Source organism: Homo sapiens, chromosome 4, assembly GCF_000001405.40.
Source record: "Homo sapiens chromosome 4, GRCh38.p14 Primary Assembly".
Taxonomy (NCBI): domain Eukaryota; kingdom Metazoa; phylum Chordata; class Mammalia; order Primates; family Hominidae; genus Homo; species Homo sapiens.
The window spans coordinates 123,859,525-123,875,138 of NC_000004.12; the positions used below are offsets into that span (position 1 = coordinate 123,859,525).

General features: G+C 37.9%; 1 long non-coding RNA gene across 2 annotated transcripts in view; it reads left to right on the plus strand.

Annotated features, from left to right (window-relative positions):
* Positions 1–15,614, plus strand: part of LINC01091 (long intergenic non-protein coding RNA 1091) — a 280,788-nt gene that overhangs the window by 209,534 nt on the left and 55,640 nt on the right. Inside the window, exon 3 of one of the 2 annotated variants that reach the window (NR_027106.2) lies at positions 4,051–6,049. The exons of the other annotated variant lie outside the window; for it this stretch is intronic. This is a non-coding gene — a long non-coding RNA (long intergenic non-protein coding RNA 1091). Of the gene's footprint in view, positions 1–4,050; positions 6,050–15,614 lie in introns of those variants that run through there. 2 annotated transcript variants of the gene reach the window in all.

Genomic DNA, 15,614 nt, shown 5'->3' on the forward strand with positions numbered 1-15,614 from the left:
AGTGGGATTGTTCTAAATTTGCTGGTTTTATGGCTCTTGTAATGAAAATTATTAAAAAAGAACACTAAAGGCCAACTTAAATAAAAACTACCTGTGTTGCTCAAATAAGTTTTTTACCTACATGTCTAGCAAATAGATTTATGGAAATTTAAATCTGCTTTGAGCTCTTTGGGACAAGCGTAATAGCCCTAAATCAAGTATTCAACATGCACCAGAGGTGGTCACTGTGTGGTAATTTTGTTGGTCAATGGAGTGACTCGTACTAACAAGGAAGAAATAGGAAAAGCAGGGGGTCGAGAAGGCGAGGCTGGACACCACTGTGTGATTAAAGTAGAAAGTGTTTTTCTAATACAGTTCTGTGCCTTATTTGTCTGTCTTCCTTTTTTTTTTTTTTTTTTTTTTTTACATCTTTTTGTTCTACAGTTTTGCTTTCTTTTTTCACCTGTTCTCTTTTGCTGAGATGGTAAGTTGCAGGCTCTATTCTGGGTTTAAGTTGATTGTACAAGTAGCAGAGATAATGACATTTTGAATTTGTTAAAAAGCTTTTATCTGAAAATTGACAGGGTATTTTTGTAAAACTAGCAGAAAACATGAGAGGGGCAATGAAAAAATATTTAGCCTTAAGACCCATAGATGTTTCTATTAGATCCATACAACTCAATAGAGAATGTCATGAAAATTCATCCATGAGTGAGAAAACTGGCTGCATGATATCTACCATGTAACTCCACATCAAGAGGGGCATCACCGTTTCATTCACTCTAGGCTCTCATTAAGTTCACTGCACTAGAGTGAGGGACCTGCCTGTGCTCTTAAAAGAAAGGGCAGGGGTCGGATGTGGTGGGTGACACCTATAATCCCAGCACTTTGGGAGGCCAAGGCAGGCGGATCACCTGTGGTTGGGAGTTCAAGACCAGCCTGACCAACATGGAGAAACCCCATCTCTACTAAAAACACAAAATTAGCCAGGCGTGATGGCGCATGCCTATAATCCCAGCTACTTGGGAGGCTGAGGCAGGAGAATCGCTTGAACCCAGGAGGCAGAGGTTGCAGTCAGTCGAGAGTGTACCATTGCACTCCAGCCTGGGCAACAAAAGCAAAACTTCGTCTCAAAACGAAAAAAAAAAAAAAAAGAAGAAAGGATGGTGAGCTTACCTAGATGACAGGTTGATAGGTGCAGCAAACCACCATGGCACATGTATACCTGTGTGACAAGCCTGCACGTTCAGCACATGTACCCCAGAACTTAAAGTTAAAAAAAATGCTCCATGTATCTTTAATGTATTTACCTTGACTAATTTTATAGACTATCTTATCTAAATACACTAGAACTATCAACTCTGTATTTGTTATAGTGTAGTTAATATGTAATATCTCATCCAAAAGTAAACATATTTAATATTTATTTTAAAACTCAACAAACATCATATATAATTTTACTTAATGGAGTAGCATATTATCTTCTCTAATGGCTTATCGATCATGAAAAATTTATTTCAAAGAGGACCATTATACAGATATATCAGGAATTAGTGGTATCTTAGGTGGCATCTTCACAAGGAAGAGACATAAAGATATTTCTTATTATTGCAGCATATCTATACGTTAAAGCATGTTCTCTTAAGGGATCATATCTTTGGCAGAAGAAAAGATATAAAAGGATTCTAAAAGTGGCTACGATATTCAATTCCACAGTACCAGAAGATTAATCTGCCACAATTTCTTTTGCTTTAATCACTATATGTCTTAGGTTTTCTCTTCTTTTTGGGTGCTCCCTTTCTTAATGGTAGTTGAATTCTCAGAGTTTAGCATATTGTACTTCTGGGGGAGTGGAGAGCTCTAGAGAAACTCAAATACTTCTTTTTACAAGATGTATATTTGTTTTATTCATAATTTGTCATGTTCTGGAATACAAAAGGTAATTGTAATGATGGCTGAATTTAACACAAAATTTTTAACTTCAACTTAAAACATGGACTGATTAATCTCATTCAATGGCAATATTCAATGCTTAAAGGAACATAAACACGTACACAATTGTGCAGTTTTCATAAGGGTTTATTTTATAACTGGTGGATAGCACATTTAACAGTTAAATACGTTTAAATAATGTATAGGTGACTACACAATTGCAGCACTGGTAACTAGATAGATAACCAATTCCACTAAAAACCAGCTAATGAGTAACTGTCTAAATATTTAAAAAACAGCTCTCGTTTGGGTCATCTTTCGTTTTGAACACCTTCTTAGGGGGGCAAAAGCCTGCTGGTCACAATGGAAATATATTAAGGCTAAATCTTCTGATATCCATTCTCGGAGGCTACTTTCAGCTGGATTAAGTCTCTGCCTCTAGGGCAAGCACCAATTTGTGGCCTCCAGTATCAGTGCTCTTCCTGTCTACCAGAGCAGACAATGTAAGCTTTATACCAGGCCTCAGAATCTGAGGGTAGCCTGCTCCAGTCAATATAGAGTTGTTGACTTTTGCATTAAACAATTTATTGTAAAGGATGAACAGCCAGATAAAGTGATACATAGGGTGAGGTCTGGAAAAGTCCTGAGCATGGGGGCGTCTGTCCCTGTGGAGTTGGAGTGCGCCACTCTCCCAGTATGTGGATGTGTTCTTGTTCACCTCCCTGGAAGCCCTGAACTGCTCAAATACTTCTAATAAGAAGCGTTACACAGTAGTTTGGGGAGAGATCATTGGATCACCATTGGAAGGTGATCTCCCATTTAGGAGATGAACTTTCATACTGGAAAGGATTGGCCTTTCAGATATTTGATAGAGAGCTACATGAAATATTTATGATGTTCCTGAGACCTAGACCATCGGGGTAGTCACACTATTGAGGATAGGAACACTTCACACAGACTTCTAGATGTGAAACTTTGTATAACTTTGAGGAGGAGGCCCAGAATTTAAAATACCAAGATTTTATGAGTACACAGGCCCTGGGAATTGTAGGTACTCAAGATAGTTCTCTGAGGGAAAAGTCCACCGTGGCATTCATTCTCAAGGAGTCAGATCCCACTAAAAATAGAAACATATCAAACCCCAAAAATCTCAAATGAATCTCAGTCTTAAGGGAAGAGGATTGTGTAGGCAGATTTTCCCAGTGCGGGGAGAAACAGTACATAGAAGCTTTTGAGTCCAGAGCAGTTTTTATTTTTGTTTTTGAAATCCATATGTGACAGGTACTGAGAAAGAGAAATATTTTGGTCTTTGCAAATTTAGGAGACTTTACAATTAAAAATCATAAGATAACAGTCAGAGATAGCTCATGAGGAAATCTGCTACAAATATTCAATGTACAAAATTCCTAAACATTAGGCATTCACAGATATTGGAGAGTTCATATAGGAGAGAAACCTTTTAAATGTGATGAAACTTCATCTAGGACTAAAAGACACATTTGTGCACGTTGGAGCATGTTGCCCCTTCCTCTGAGCAGACATAGCCTTGCACCAGGGCTTCCGGCTTGGTGAGCAGAGGATCACCTCATACTTTCCCCTTGTTCAGTGAATTGCTAGTGCAATCCTATCAGTCGCCCTCATTGTACTGAGTTTCCTGGCAGTTAGCAGGCCTGATGACATTCTACCTGGCTTTGTTAGTATTTTTTGAAAGCCTACTGCATGTATCTTTTGGATTCGTATGCAATATACTAAAGTGATAGATTGGGGTGATTATTTTCACTTTGGAAGTTTATTTGCTTTACAAAAGAGTATAGGATGATTTATTTAAAAAATCATTTCTTCTATGATTTAATTTATGAAAGATTAAGAATGCATCTAATAGTTAAAATAAATTTCACTCTTAAAATTTTTTGTTGTAAGTCAAGCAAAAATTATACAGATGGCGAGTCTTTGCCACATAATTATCTCCCCTAATCAGAATGATTACAATATGGAGTGTCTACTCTTTTTTTCTTAGTTTAAGGAAGTTTCAGACATACTCACACACAAATATTTATGGTAGATTGTATTATTGTTCTAAATTATTTGCTCACTTCTTACCCCTGAGAAGACAATGCATTCTTATGCTGTTGATTTCAGGCTTGGCCTTGGGACCTGCTTAAACCAAGAGATATGCCACATCCGAGCAGTTCTTTTCCTTGTGGCCCCTGCCATGAGAGCAGCGTGTACAAGGTGGATGCTGCTCCATTAGCGTGGATCCTGGGATGAGAAGACTCAGGGAGCAGGCTCTGCCAACCCACAGTCTACAGCAGAGCCACAGCCAGCAGTAGTCCTCATTCAACAGGAGGGGGAAAAAACTGCTCGTCATCCTTAGCTCTGAGATTTGGGGGTTGTTATCACAGAAGATACTGTCTCATAGAAGTTTTTAATATGACTGCTACTACAACAACTATTGCTATAATGTTTACAGCAATCATTGCTACTTTACGTTCCAACAGTATTATTGCTTGCAAGGGGCTATCAAATAGATGATCTTGTTGGAAACTCACAGCTACAAGGGCAGGTGAGGAAGCTGAAGTAATGAGTAGGAGAAGTTAATGAATTATCCCAAGGTCAAAGTGCTAGAAACTAGAAGGAGAGGATTTGAACTCTGATTTTCTTATTTCAAGTTGTTGTTTTTCTGGACCTTAGTTTACTAGTCTCCAATACACTTTACAGATTTCTCAAGGCATCTTAAGTGTAGCATGCTATCTCAATTGTCCATCACTTCACCTATAAAGACTCTGTCTTTTTAGGTACTTCATTATACAATTCCCTCACTGGCATTTCCAAGGCCTTCTAGTAGGCTCAAGGGACAGATGAAAATCCTTAACATGTTTGACACAATTCTGACTTGTCTAAGTTCTGCACATCTCCCAAGCCTCAAATTCCTCCTTAGTTGCCTCCTGGATTGCTCTCTGGCCTCCAGCTATACTAACGTTTCTTGGAAGCCCATGGGGAAGTCATGCCTTTTTCAGCCACAGGACTTTGTGCGTATAATAATTTTTTTCTGCCAAAATGTCACCTCTGTACCCTAAATTCTTACCATGTACCATCCTTGTTCTCCTCACCATCTATTCTGGATCTCTACTCAATAGTCAATGGCTGGGAGACCTCCCCGGACTTTCTGATCAAGTCAGTCCCCATACTTAAAGGGCATTTACCTCTGCCTCAGTGGTGGTTGATGTGGTTCACTTTGTGTAATGTCTCTTTTTCCTTTATTATTCTATTTATAATTGCTTGTTTATTCATTTTGCTCACCCTAGTACCTAGCACACTGCCTGCTACATAGGAAGTATTCCGCAAACATTTCTTAAATCTCTGAATACTCAGATATAATGCTGAACACTAAATATTCAGCTGCAGTGCTGTAGCTGAGCTGTCAGAAATGGGGTAGAAGTGTTTTGAGTTTTGATAAGGAGAGGGATCTGCTTGTTACATGAACTGGAAATAGTGATGAGATGGAAATTTGGTGTGAAGAAGCCAAGAGGTCATTTGTGGTCATTGTAACATCACCAGGTAATGATCAGAGAGGCAATAGAGAGCATCCCTCAGTGGCTGTGTCTACACAAGGCTCACCACTTTGAAGAAGCACATGCCAAGAACTCACATCCCATTAGTGGCTTAAGTTTTTGAACTTTCTTTCCAGTTTTCATAAAAGTTTTGTTTACAGACTTGACCAGCAGTAAAGCTAAGACGTTTGCATGTGTTTTACCAGCCCTATCATTTTAGTAGGCCTTGATTTCTGGAAGATTATTTTTCTCTGCAGATTTTATTCTTTTTTCCCCATTTGTTTTAATAAATAGCATCTTTCAGGCCAAGTAGAAAAGAGGATGAAGTATATCCTGTAAGTCTAAGGATGGCACAATGGCAACCACTGTTATGGAGCACTAACTGCTTTCTGGTATTATTGTTTAGTTATGAGGGCAACCTAGGTTGTTCATGTCTATATTTTCAAATGTCTTTTCATTTTCTATCCTTTTATTTTTAGTAGAGATCTGTTAAGGATTTTCACTCTCTTTCACTGGGCTGCTTTTCAATCTTATTTCACAGATAGCAATATTATATTTCTACTAAAAAAAAAAAACGAACTAAAAACTGTTTGCAAGTTTTCTGACAAATTTAGGCATGTGTGGTGTATTGGACTTAGGCTTTTAAGAATAGTAGGTTAGTTTATGATGACAAAAAGAGAGAAGTGGTACGGGAATAGAAAAAAGTAGCAATTGTTTGCCTTCTAGGATCCAATTTGATAAGATGAGAGTGGCATGAATATAGTATGTGCTGCAATCCAGTGTTTAAGTTAATGATGGACCACATATATGACGATGGTTTCTTAAGATTATAATGGAGCTGAAAAATTCCTATCACTTATTGATGGTGTAGGGATCATAACATCATAGCATTGCACATAACCTTTTCTATGCTTAGATATATTTAGACACACAAATGCTTACCATTATGTTACAATTGCCTACAGTGTTCAGTACGGCAACATGCCATACAGGTTTGTAGCCTAGGAGCAATAGGCTGTACCATCAGATTTTTGTAAGTACACTCTACGATGTTCACACAAGAACAAAATCACTGAATGACATATTTCTTAGAATATATTCCTGTGGCTAAGCAACACATGACAGTAATGATGTGGTCAGGGAGCCACAGACCATGAACAGGAACACCCAAGCAATGGGCTAGCCTGGAAAATATCTCAATGTGAGTTACAGGGAAAGATAAGACCTCATCGCAATGCTGGGGTGACTGCATCAGGATGTGCTCAAATCCCAATATACACAAAAATTTCCCAACCTGGATCCTCCATTTCGGTCTAGAGTACACTCAAGTCATCTCTGATGTAGGTCCTGCTGCATGGCCCAGAGCCCCAAAATTTCTTTAATTGTCTAACGGTTCCCAGTCTTTGGGGAGTTTATGGTCTGGTTAAGAAGACTTAAACTTTTTCTATTAAAAATGACACACAAACTGATATAGTTTGGATATCTGTCCCTCCCAAATCCCATGTTGAATTGTAATCCCCAGTGCTGAAAGTGGGGCCGGGTGGGAGGTGTTTGGGTCATGGGAGAGAATCCCTCATGGCTTGGTCCTATTTTCGTGATAGTGTGTGAGTTCTCGGGAGATCTAGTTGTTAGAAGTGTGTGGCACCTCCCCCTTCACTCTTTCTCTCACTTGTTCCTGCTTTTGCCATGTGATATGCCGGCCCCCTGCTGTGCCTTCTGCCATGACTGTAAGCTACCTTAGACCTTGCTAGAAGCCAAGCCGATGCCAGCACCATACTTCCTGTAAAGCCTGCAGAACCATGAGCCAGTTAAATCTCTTTCTTTATAAATTACCCAGCCACAGGCATTTCTTTATAGCAATGCAAGAATGACCTAATACGCATACCTTCTTTGCTTCCATGATATCTACAAAAGGTTACATCTAGTTAGCTGAATAGTCTAGAAACAATCCTACAGCTGCCAAAATAGTTGATGGCACAGGCTTAGTAATATAAAATAATAAGATTTGCTAATGTTTGCTGTCAATCAGTTGCCATTAGTTCAAGTAAGTTCTTCTGTTTGGTCTCTGAATCAACACAGTAACAAAAGTTGATTCCATGACTCATTCTGTCACCAAGTGGCAATGTCCCTGATCTGTCTTCCCTTTGCTTGGCCATGCCTATTTTCGGATCTTCTGGCAGAAGTCTAATACATATATTCCAACACTTTTAATTTTTTATCTTCTATCTTCAATTTGCTCTATCACTTTTCCTCTTTGATCTTTTCACAGTTCCTTTATCCCTTTATTCTGTTCTCCTTTTCTCTACCATTCTTCGTATAATTTACCCATCTTTGCCATCAGTTTTCTGGTCATCCTCAGCCAGGATGTGAGGGTACCTCCTTACAACATGTTCTTCATTGTAACGTAAAATGTTACAGCAATTCAACAAAATTCATATATTTTTCTTTACTTAAAAATACTTATGACATTTCACTTACTTTTTTATATGGGTAGGTCTGTCCTCTGTGATGTCTTCTCAACTTGCTTAGGAGTTTATCATAGAGATTTTTCCTATGCCTAAAGACCACAGAATCTAGGCCTTTACATGTGGGAATAATAAGAAACAGCTTCTGTGTAACAGCTTCGTTTCTGAATAGGGACCAAAGATGTCCTAGGCTGGAATCCTTATATAATTTTCTTATAAATATAGAAAAATGATAATTTAAATAGGATTTTCATCATTGTAGGTTCTGGGTTTATCTGCAATGCCAGTGCCAAATGGTTTCATTTCTCTATTTTTCTATGTAGCTTCCATTGAATTATTCTGATGTCCTCTGAAAAATCAGAAAAAACCATTTTTCTCTGTTTCTGGCAATGAAGAAGAAAGATTCTTTAGGAATATTTCCTACTGTCCCCTTTTCTCTTTGATACCAAAGGAATGGGATGATTACTTCATTAATTATAATATGGAATTATATAACCAAATAAAATGATTTTATATGATCCAGCAATTTCATTTCTGGGCATATACCTAAATGAAATAAAAGCAGGAATTTAAGGAGATACTCTACATCAATATTCATAACAGCATTTTTCACAACAGCAAAAAGGTGGAAGCAACCCAAGTGTCCATTGAAGGTTGAATGGATATACCAAATGTGGTTTGTACACACAATGGAATATTACTCAGCCTTGAAAAGGAAGAAAATTCTGACACATGCCACAACATGTATGAAACTTGACATTATGCAAAGTGAAATAAGCCCATCATGAAAGGAGAAAAATACTCTATAATTCCACTTATATGAGGTACCTAGAAATCAGATTCATAGCAACAGAAAGTAGATGGTGGTTGCCAAGGCCTGGAGGAAGGGGTGAATAGGAAATTACTGTTTAGTGGGTACAGAGTTTCTGTTGTGCAAGCTGAAAATAGTTCAGTGGTGGTGATGATTGCACAACAATGTGAATGTACTCAATGCCACTGAATGGTACACTTAAAAATGGTTCAAAAAGTAAATGTTATGTTATGCATATTTTATCACCACTAAAACAATAATAATTTTGGATTTTACCTCTAACATGTGAAACTAATTGTAAGTTGCCTACTTTGTGCCAGATGGTGCGCTGGGTACTTTACATACATTATTCCTGATAAATATGATTCTCATTTTATAAGTGAGGAAACAGAAGTACATAGAGGCAGTCAGGCATGGTGGCTCATGTCTAATCCCAGCACTTTGGGAGGTCGAGGTGGGTGTGTCACATGAGGTTAGGAGCTTGAGACCAGCCTGGCCAACATGATGAAACCCCATCTCTACTAAAAATACAAAAATTAGCTGGATGTGGTGCCGCATGCCTGTAATCCCAGCTACTTGGGAGGCTGAGACAGGAGAATCACTTGAACCCGGGAGGCGGAGGTTGCAGTGAGCCGAGATCATGCCACTGCACTCCAGCCTGGGTGACAGAGCAAGACTCCATCTCAAAAAAAAAAAAAAAAAAAAAGAAAAGAAACAAATAGAGGCTAAGATGCTTTCATGAAGTTAAGCAATTCAGCAGCAGAAATGTGATCTGAATTCAGGTCTGTGTAGTCTCTCCATTAACCCACATCTCTGCTCTGCTACTACTCATGGGGAACTCACGTATGTGTGCAGGCATGCACATACATTTCTGTATTTTTCTTTATATGTTTTATTCCCTAGCTTATAATTAATTTTGTTAGTTACTATAAATATGAATGTTGAGGATAACCACTTAATTAATATCACAAAGTTAATCCATGTAATCGCCTTATAGTATGTGGCATGTACCAATTCTCATTGCCAAACGAATCTGTGAGGAAGAACTGCCCAAATACAAACAGCTTTATTGGATGCCTCAGGAAGCAGGGAATTAGAGTGATTGCTTAGGCTTCAGGCTTTGCAATTACAACCTGACATTTTGGTAACAGCAATTTAAAATTTAAGTTCCAAAAAGGCTTAAGACCAAGTCTGTCATTTGACACTTTTTTCCCTCCACATTTTTGGGAAAAGAATGAATTGCTTAGAAATGGATCTTGTGGAACTGCTAGAAATTTTTTCTAAGTGTTTTTGGTCTCTGAAATGAGCTTACTTAATGTGTGTTCATTGTGTAAAAGAAGCAATCTGTCTGGTATAGACAGGAATTGGATCCCCATGGTAAACAAAATTGCCTCAGCCTTGCTGGAGCATGTACTTTCTAAGCAGTGGGCACAGAGACAGTGTAATTGGCTACCTCCTGCTTGTAAGTATAGGTATGTTAAATGTGGGCCTGAGGGGAACCTCCATTTTGGGTTGTAGTTTATTATTAGGTGAGGAAATTACTGGACACCTCCAGCTGCCATTAATCAGCCACAGAGTCAGACTGGAGCCAAGGGAGAAGCCTGTGGGTGGATTCTGCCCAGTGCTGTGGAAATACAAGAAGACGGAGACAAATGTTTTCCAGCCTAGCAGCTCTAAACTCTGCCCTTTCACAGTCCTTAACATGCATGTTCAAATTGATTTAGTCCATTTACCCCCTCAACCTAACCATCTATTTTCCTTGAAGACTGACAGTTTTATGTGTTGCTACCATGTTATTATGTGTTGCTGCTCTGCCGGTAGCTATAGTATTTCAGAAACATTTACTTCCAGACATAAAGGATGAATGAGGAGGGGGGGAATGTAGAGAAAGGGAGGTGAGGTTGAGTCATTTTAATTCCTTTTTTATAGGGTGCAAAACATGCCCATCTTGGCACTGACTTTCTCTCTCCCTCTCGTTTTTTTCTTTATTCCTTTTCTCTGTCAATGATTTCCATGATAAAACCTTGAATAACATTTCCCACTTGAGAAACGCATCTGTCAGGTGATGTCAATGCCTGGCTTACTCCTCTTCCTGTTGGGTTGCAAACATGGCCTTCTCTCATGGTCCTGGAATGCTGACATGGTCGGGCAGCCAGAGCCTAACACAGGTAGGGTCAAGCTGAAAACATGGGCAAGCCCTCCTGTCCTCAGCCTGGCTTTGGAGGGAATGGGAAGAACCTAGACACAATTTATTGTCTTTGCTGTTATGTAAATTCAGAAAAGGGAAATGGTGGAGGTAAAAGCAAGACCCCAAATAGCCTCTTGTCAGCTGCAGGGACGTCAGTCAAGACATTCCAAGTATTTGTCCAATGAGAGATATTTACCTCAGGGTAAGTGGGGATTCAAATCTGACCCCCACCCTCCACATTTTTGGAACTGGATGAAAGTGCCTTATCTGAACATGTAAGAATATTTCTGGCACTGAAGGCCAAAGACTAAAACTCTGAGTTAAAATAAATACTCAGAGATGGAAAGGAAACAGTGAGGTGAAAGGTTTGATCATTTATGAACCTCTGAACTCACTGACTACCATACCCTTGTTTTATTCTATCTGGTTTTCATGTACGAATCTATGCAAAGGCAAACAGAGAGACTCTCCTTTTACTTTTCCTGCTTTTGTGTGGACAAGTAGAAAATGAAAATTCTATTGATTTATGCTACACAAATAAAAATAAAACACATAAAATAAGGCAATTTGAAGTATGTAACCAGATATGAGAATTTTCTGATATTTCCTGTGGATCAGGTCTCAGTTATGCATAGGATCTGATTCTATTGAGTAGTCATGATGATTACCTAGTAATAGAAAAAGGTTTTAAAATAGTACCTTGAGAGCAAATTATTTTATAGTGAAATAGAATCTGAGGAACATTGAGACAGACATGCTTATATGGATATACACACATAAACCTATACATGTAATTTCTTTAAGGAAAAAACTTTATTACTCTAGCATAAATTAAACTTATGGTTCAGGGTTGTAGTCACCCAGTGACTTTCGACATGGGTCCACTTTGGGCTGCTGGAGGTTTCTGGGAGGAGTCCTTGAGTGGGTGTTGAGAGGGTGTTTGTGGTGATCTTTACATCATCATCATTTAGATGACAGTCCTTGTTTTCCCGGCAGTTCTCAGGGTTTGCATGGTTGACTGTCCCTAATCAGAGGTCACCTCAGCGATGCACTGAGATCCTCTGAAGCAGGGCACCCGTATGCCCCTAGGGAAATGAAGCATGTGGCTCCTTCAGCCATTCAGTCTCTGTTTGATGACTGTGGAATGACTGAGAAAGCCTCACAGACATTCACAGGCTTTTCTTCACCCTTGTGCTCAAGCACTGTTGTTGGTTTGGTGCTGGGAGCTTTGATGCAGACTGCCTTGCAAGGTCGAGGGTGGCCAAATGAATTACCCGTATTGCTTTCCGCAACAACTGAATTCTCTTTGATAGGATTCCATGAAAACACCATTTGACAGCACAAACCTCGTTCAGTTTGAAGAGCTGATGGATTGTAAAACTACTATAGGGAATCTTTTCCTCTTACAATGAACTTTAACAGTTACTTAAAATATCTCTTTAAAGGGCATGGGAGCATGTGTCCATAAAGTACTTAGTCGTTTAGAAAGTTACCTTTGTTTCTGGCACTGTAATACAGAAGCTTTCGACACTATTGGCAAGTGGGAGATTGTCTGACTGTTTGTTCTGAATCCAAAATTGGTATATATGTTGTAAAACATTATGACCATCTTTATGGGAACCACAGAACAGTCTGTTTAAAATTGAGAATTTTTCAGAAAATTGGAACTAACGATTGCCACAGTAATAGCTTAAATAATTAATATTTTGGCATCCTTCAGTCATATTTTACCTTTATAAAACTTTTCCCTAGCAAAGTATGATAAAAATTAACCAGTAAAAGCATTTCTATTTGAATTATCTAAGGAATTCTCTCAAGAGTCAGAGAGGAATCTAGATAGAGACAGCACTCGTGATAAAATTGGTTGCCTTAACCTGCCACTTTCTTCATGCTGGCAGAAAGTTAGTAACCCAGTATGGCTTTCTGGTGCAGAAACGAAGCTTGAGAATGATTAGCAAGGTATGAACAACCTGTAATTGAAGACTTAGAAATTTTCTGTATTGTCTTTATCTTTTAAATAAGCATACCTCTTCAACTGTAAACGAAACCTCTCAGTGACAGTTTTTATCTGAATAAAATTCAGTATTTGATAACTGTTTTTAAACATGCAAGTTTTGGTGTACAATAAATAGTGACTGTTGTTTTCCAGCTATGGCCTTGTTATGAAGTATTCCTTAAAAAGACCTGAATCCATAAAGAATATGAGATGGTAATAACTGACCATAGTTTATACTAAATAAGGATTTATGCTTCACAGGGAAGATGAAAAGTAATAAAAGAGGCAGACTAAATCTTATTCCAAAGTGTAAATTGTCATAGTAAATAAAGCTTTTCTTATATTCTTTCTGCCATATCATATTCATGGAAAGGGCCAGTCTTTTGCCTTTTCTCCTTTTCTGTAATTCTGCAGGACACTATTAGATATAATATATTAGATATTTTATATATATATATAAAACTACTACTTTTGACTGAAGGAAAATGGCCCTTGTCGTCCTTTAGGTTCAGTGAATTCAGGGAGCTAATTGTAAGATCAGGGTGTGTACTTTGACCCCCTAAGGGTGAAACCCTTTTAGTTGTACAGCAGTATACTTAATCGTGGTAATACGGCATTACAGCATATAAACAAAAGAACGGGGATCAGGATAAAGAAGCCACGGAGAAAGGACACACAATCACCTGGATACTTAATTCTTTTTAGTTAAATACTTGTGATTGAGTTATGTTTAGACTACAAGAGGAGGCAAATGAGTTTGGAAGACTCAGTACAGACACCCATTACCAGTTTTGCCAAACAGTGTCTGACGTCGCATCAACACACTGGAAGAATACAGGTTACTTTCCAGAATTCTAGAAAATACAATCCAGTTAGAATAAGTAGCAGTGATTTCTTTTAGCTGGTTTGTAATCTTAAATCGTTCTACTCCACATACTTCAACACAGGGGTTGGACAAATACTAGAGCTGGCCACCATCATTTCATCTCATCATTTTGTTCAAACTATAGATAATTTTATTCCATATCCATTTTTATTTTTAATCAGAGCGTACCTGCCTTTCTACTCCCATTAATGGCAAAAGCCACAATTACTTTTGCGCAGACTTCATAGGTATTTATTCTTAGGGTACTTTGGTAAAATTCAGGAGCCTGGAAAGTAAACAGAGCATTTTGTTGTTCGACAAAAGGGAAACAGCAGAAGTGCTATGACAATCGTGTGTCCAAGTTGCCTTGCACTACAGGTGTACATACTGTTCTAGGACATTTAAAAATACAGAGAAAATTTCACCTAGAAATTTGCATTTTGATTTGAACTTCTCCTTGTGGGTGATCATCGAATTTACCCAAGAAATTTAAAATACTACATGGTTTTTCTTAATTATGTCTGTGACTAGACTTTGTTTCTCTCTCCCAATTCTGATATTTTATTATTTTGTGATAAAAGACACTGGATCTAGCTGCTTGCTGTGTAAGGAGCACAATGCCTAAAGAATAAGTAACACTCTCCTTACTCCTGTTCCTATTCTATTTTTTGATGACTGGTGAATTTCATAGAACTTAGCCCCATATATGTTAAAGACAGTTTCAGAAATTTTGTGAACCTTTTAATAAATTATTACCTTGGTGCTCAACTTTGATTTAGTGATCATTATATTAATTAATGCTTTCAAAATTGCTGAGTTTTGGTTAAGTCTAGATTATAACAGCTTGAATTATGACATGTTTTATCTTATATTTTAGTTATCAAAACCATACTGGATAAGCCCTCAGGAAATCTGGCCAGTTTTCATGATAAATTGACTCAGCCTTGTAATGCATAATTCAGTCGCACAGCTGTGTAGTCTGGTGTGTTCTCTGAGGGATGTAGTTTTACTTGTAGGTTTACATCAAGAAAATCTACTCCAAGAAGTTTGATTTATACCCCAGAAACATATAAAAATGTGCATACTGATTTAACATAAATCCAAATTATACACTTTTTAATAAACACTGAATATATTTTTTCTTAAAACTCACATGCCAAGTTTTAAAGAAAGGCAGAAAATTTTGTGAACGTTTTTTCACTTCATTCTAGTAATGGGTCCCTCATTTAGAAAAATCTTGTTTTTTTCTGGTTATAGTTCCAATAAAAATGTTTTTTGGTAGTAATTTAAAATAGGTGTTGAATTTTTTATTATGAAGAGGCTATTGGGCATAGTGGCTAACAGTATGAGTATTGAAATCATAGACTGGAAGTATTCCTTTCCTGTTTTCAAAATTGTTGAATGCCATTAACAATTATATTGCTGTTAACCGATATATGCGAATGTATGCTTTCTTTCATCCCCGTCTGTGATTGAGATAAGGACAACTGGGAAATGTAGAAATCCGCCTAGCATGGATTCAATCCCTAATGAAGTTATAGTCCTGGTTACACTTAGAAAAGGTAGGATTCCATGGACCTTATTAAAATGACACCTCTTAGCCGTGAACAGCTCCAGGCATTTTATAAACTGTTGAAGTCCTGCAGTGATATCGTTTCAATGTAGAGAATATCTCATTACAGTCATTGACATAAAATGTCTCCATCAAACTTTAGCAATGTGTAGTTTTGAAGGTTTTAGGAGGGAGGCAAGAGAGTTTTTCTGAATGTTTGAAAAATAATCGTTTTAGGCAGAATGTTTAGGAAATGAATTTTTACTTTGGTTGTC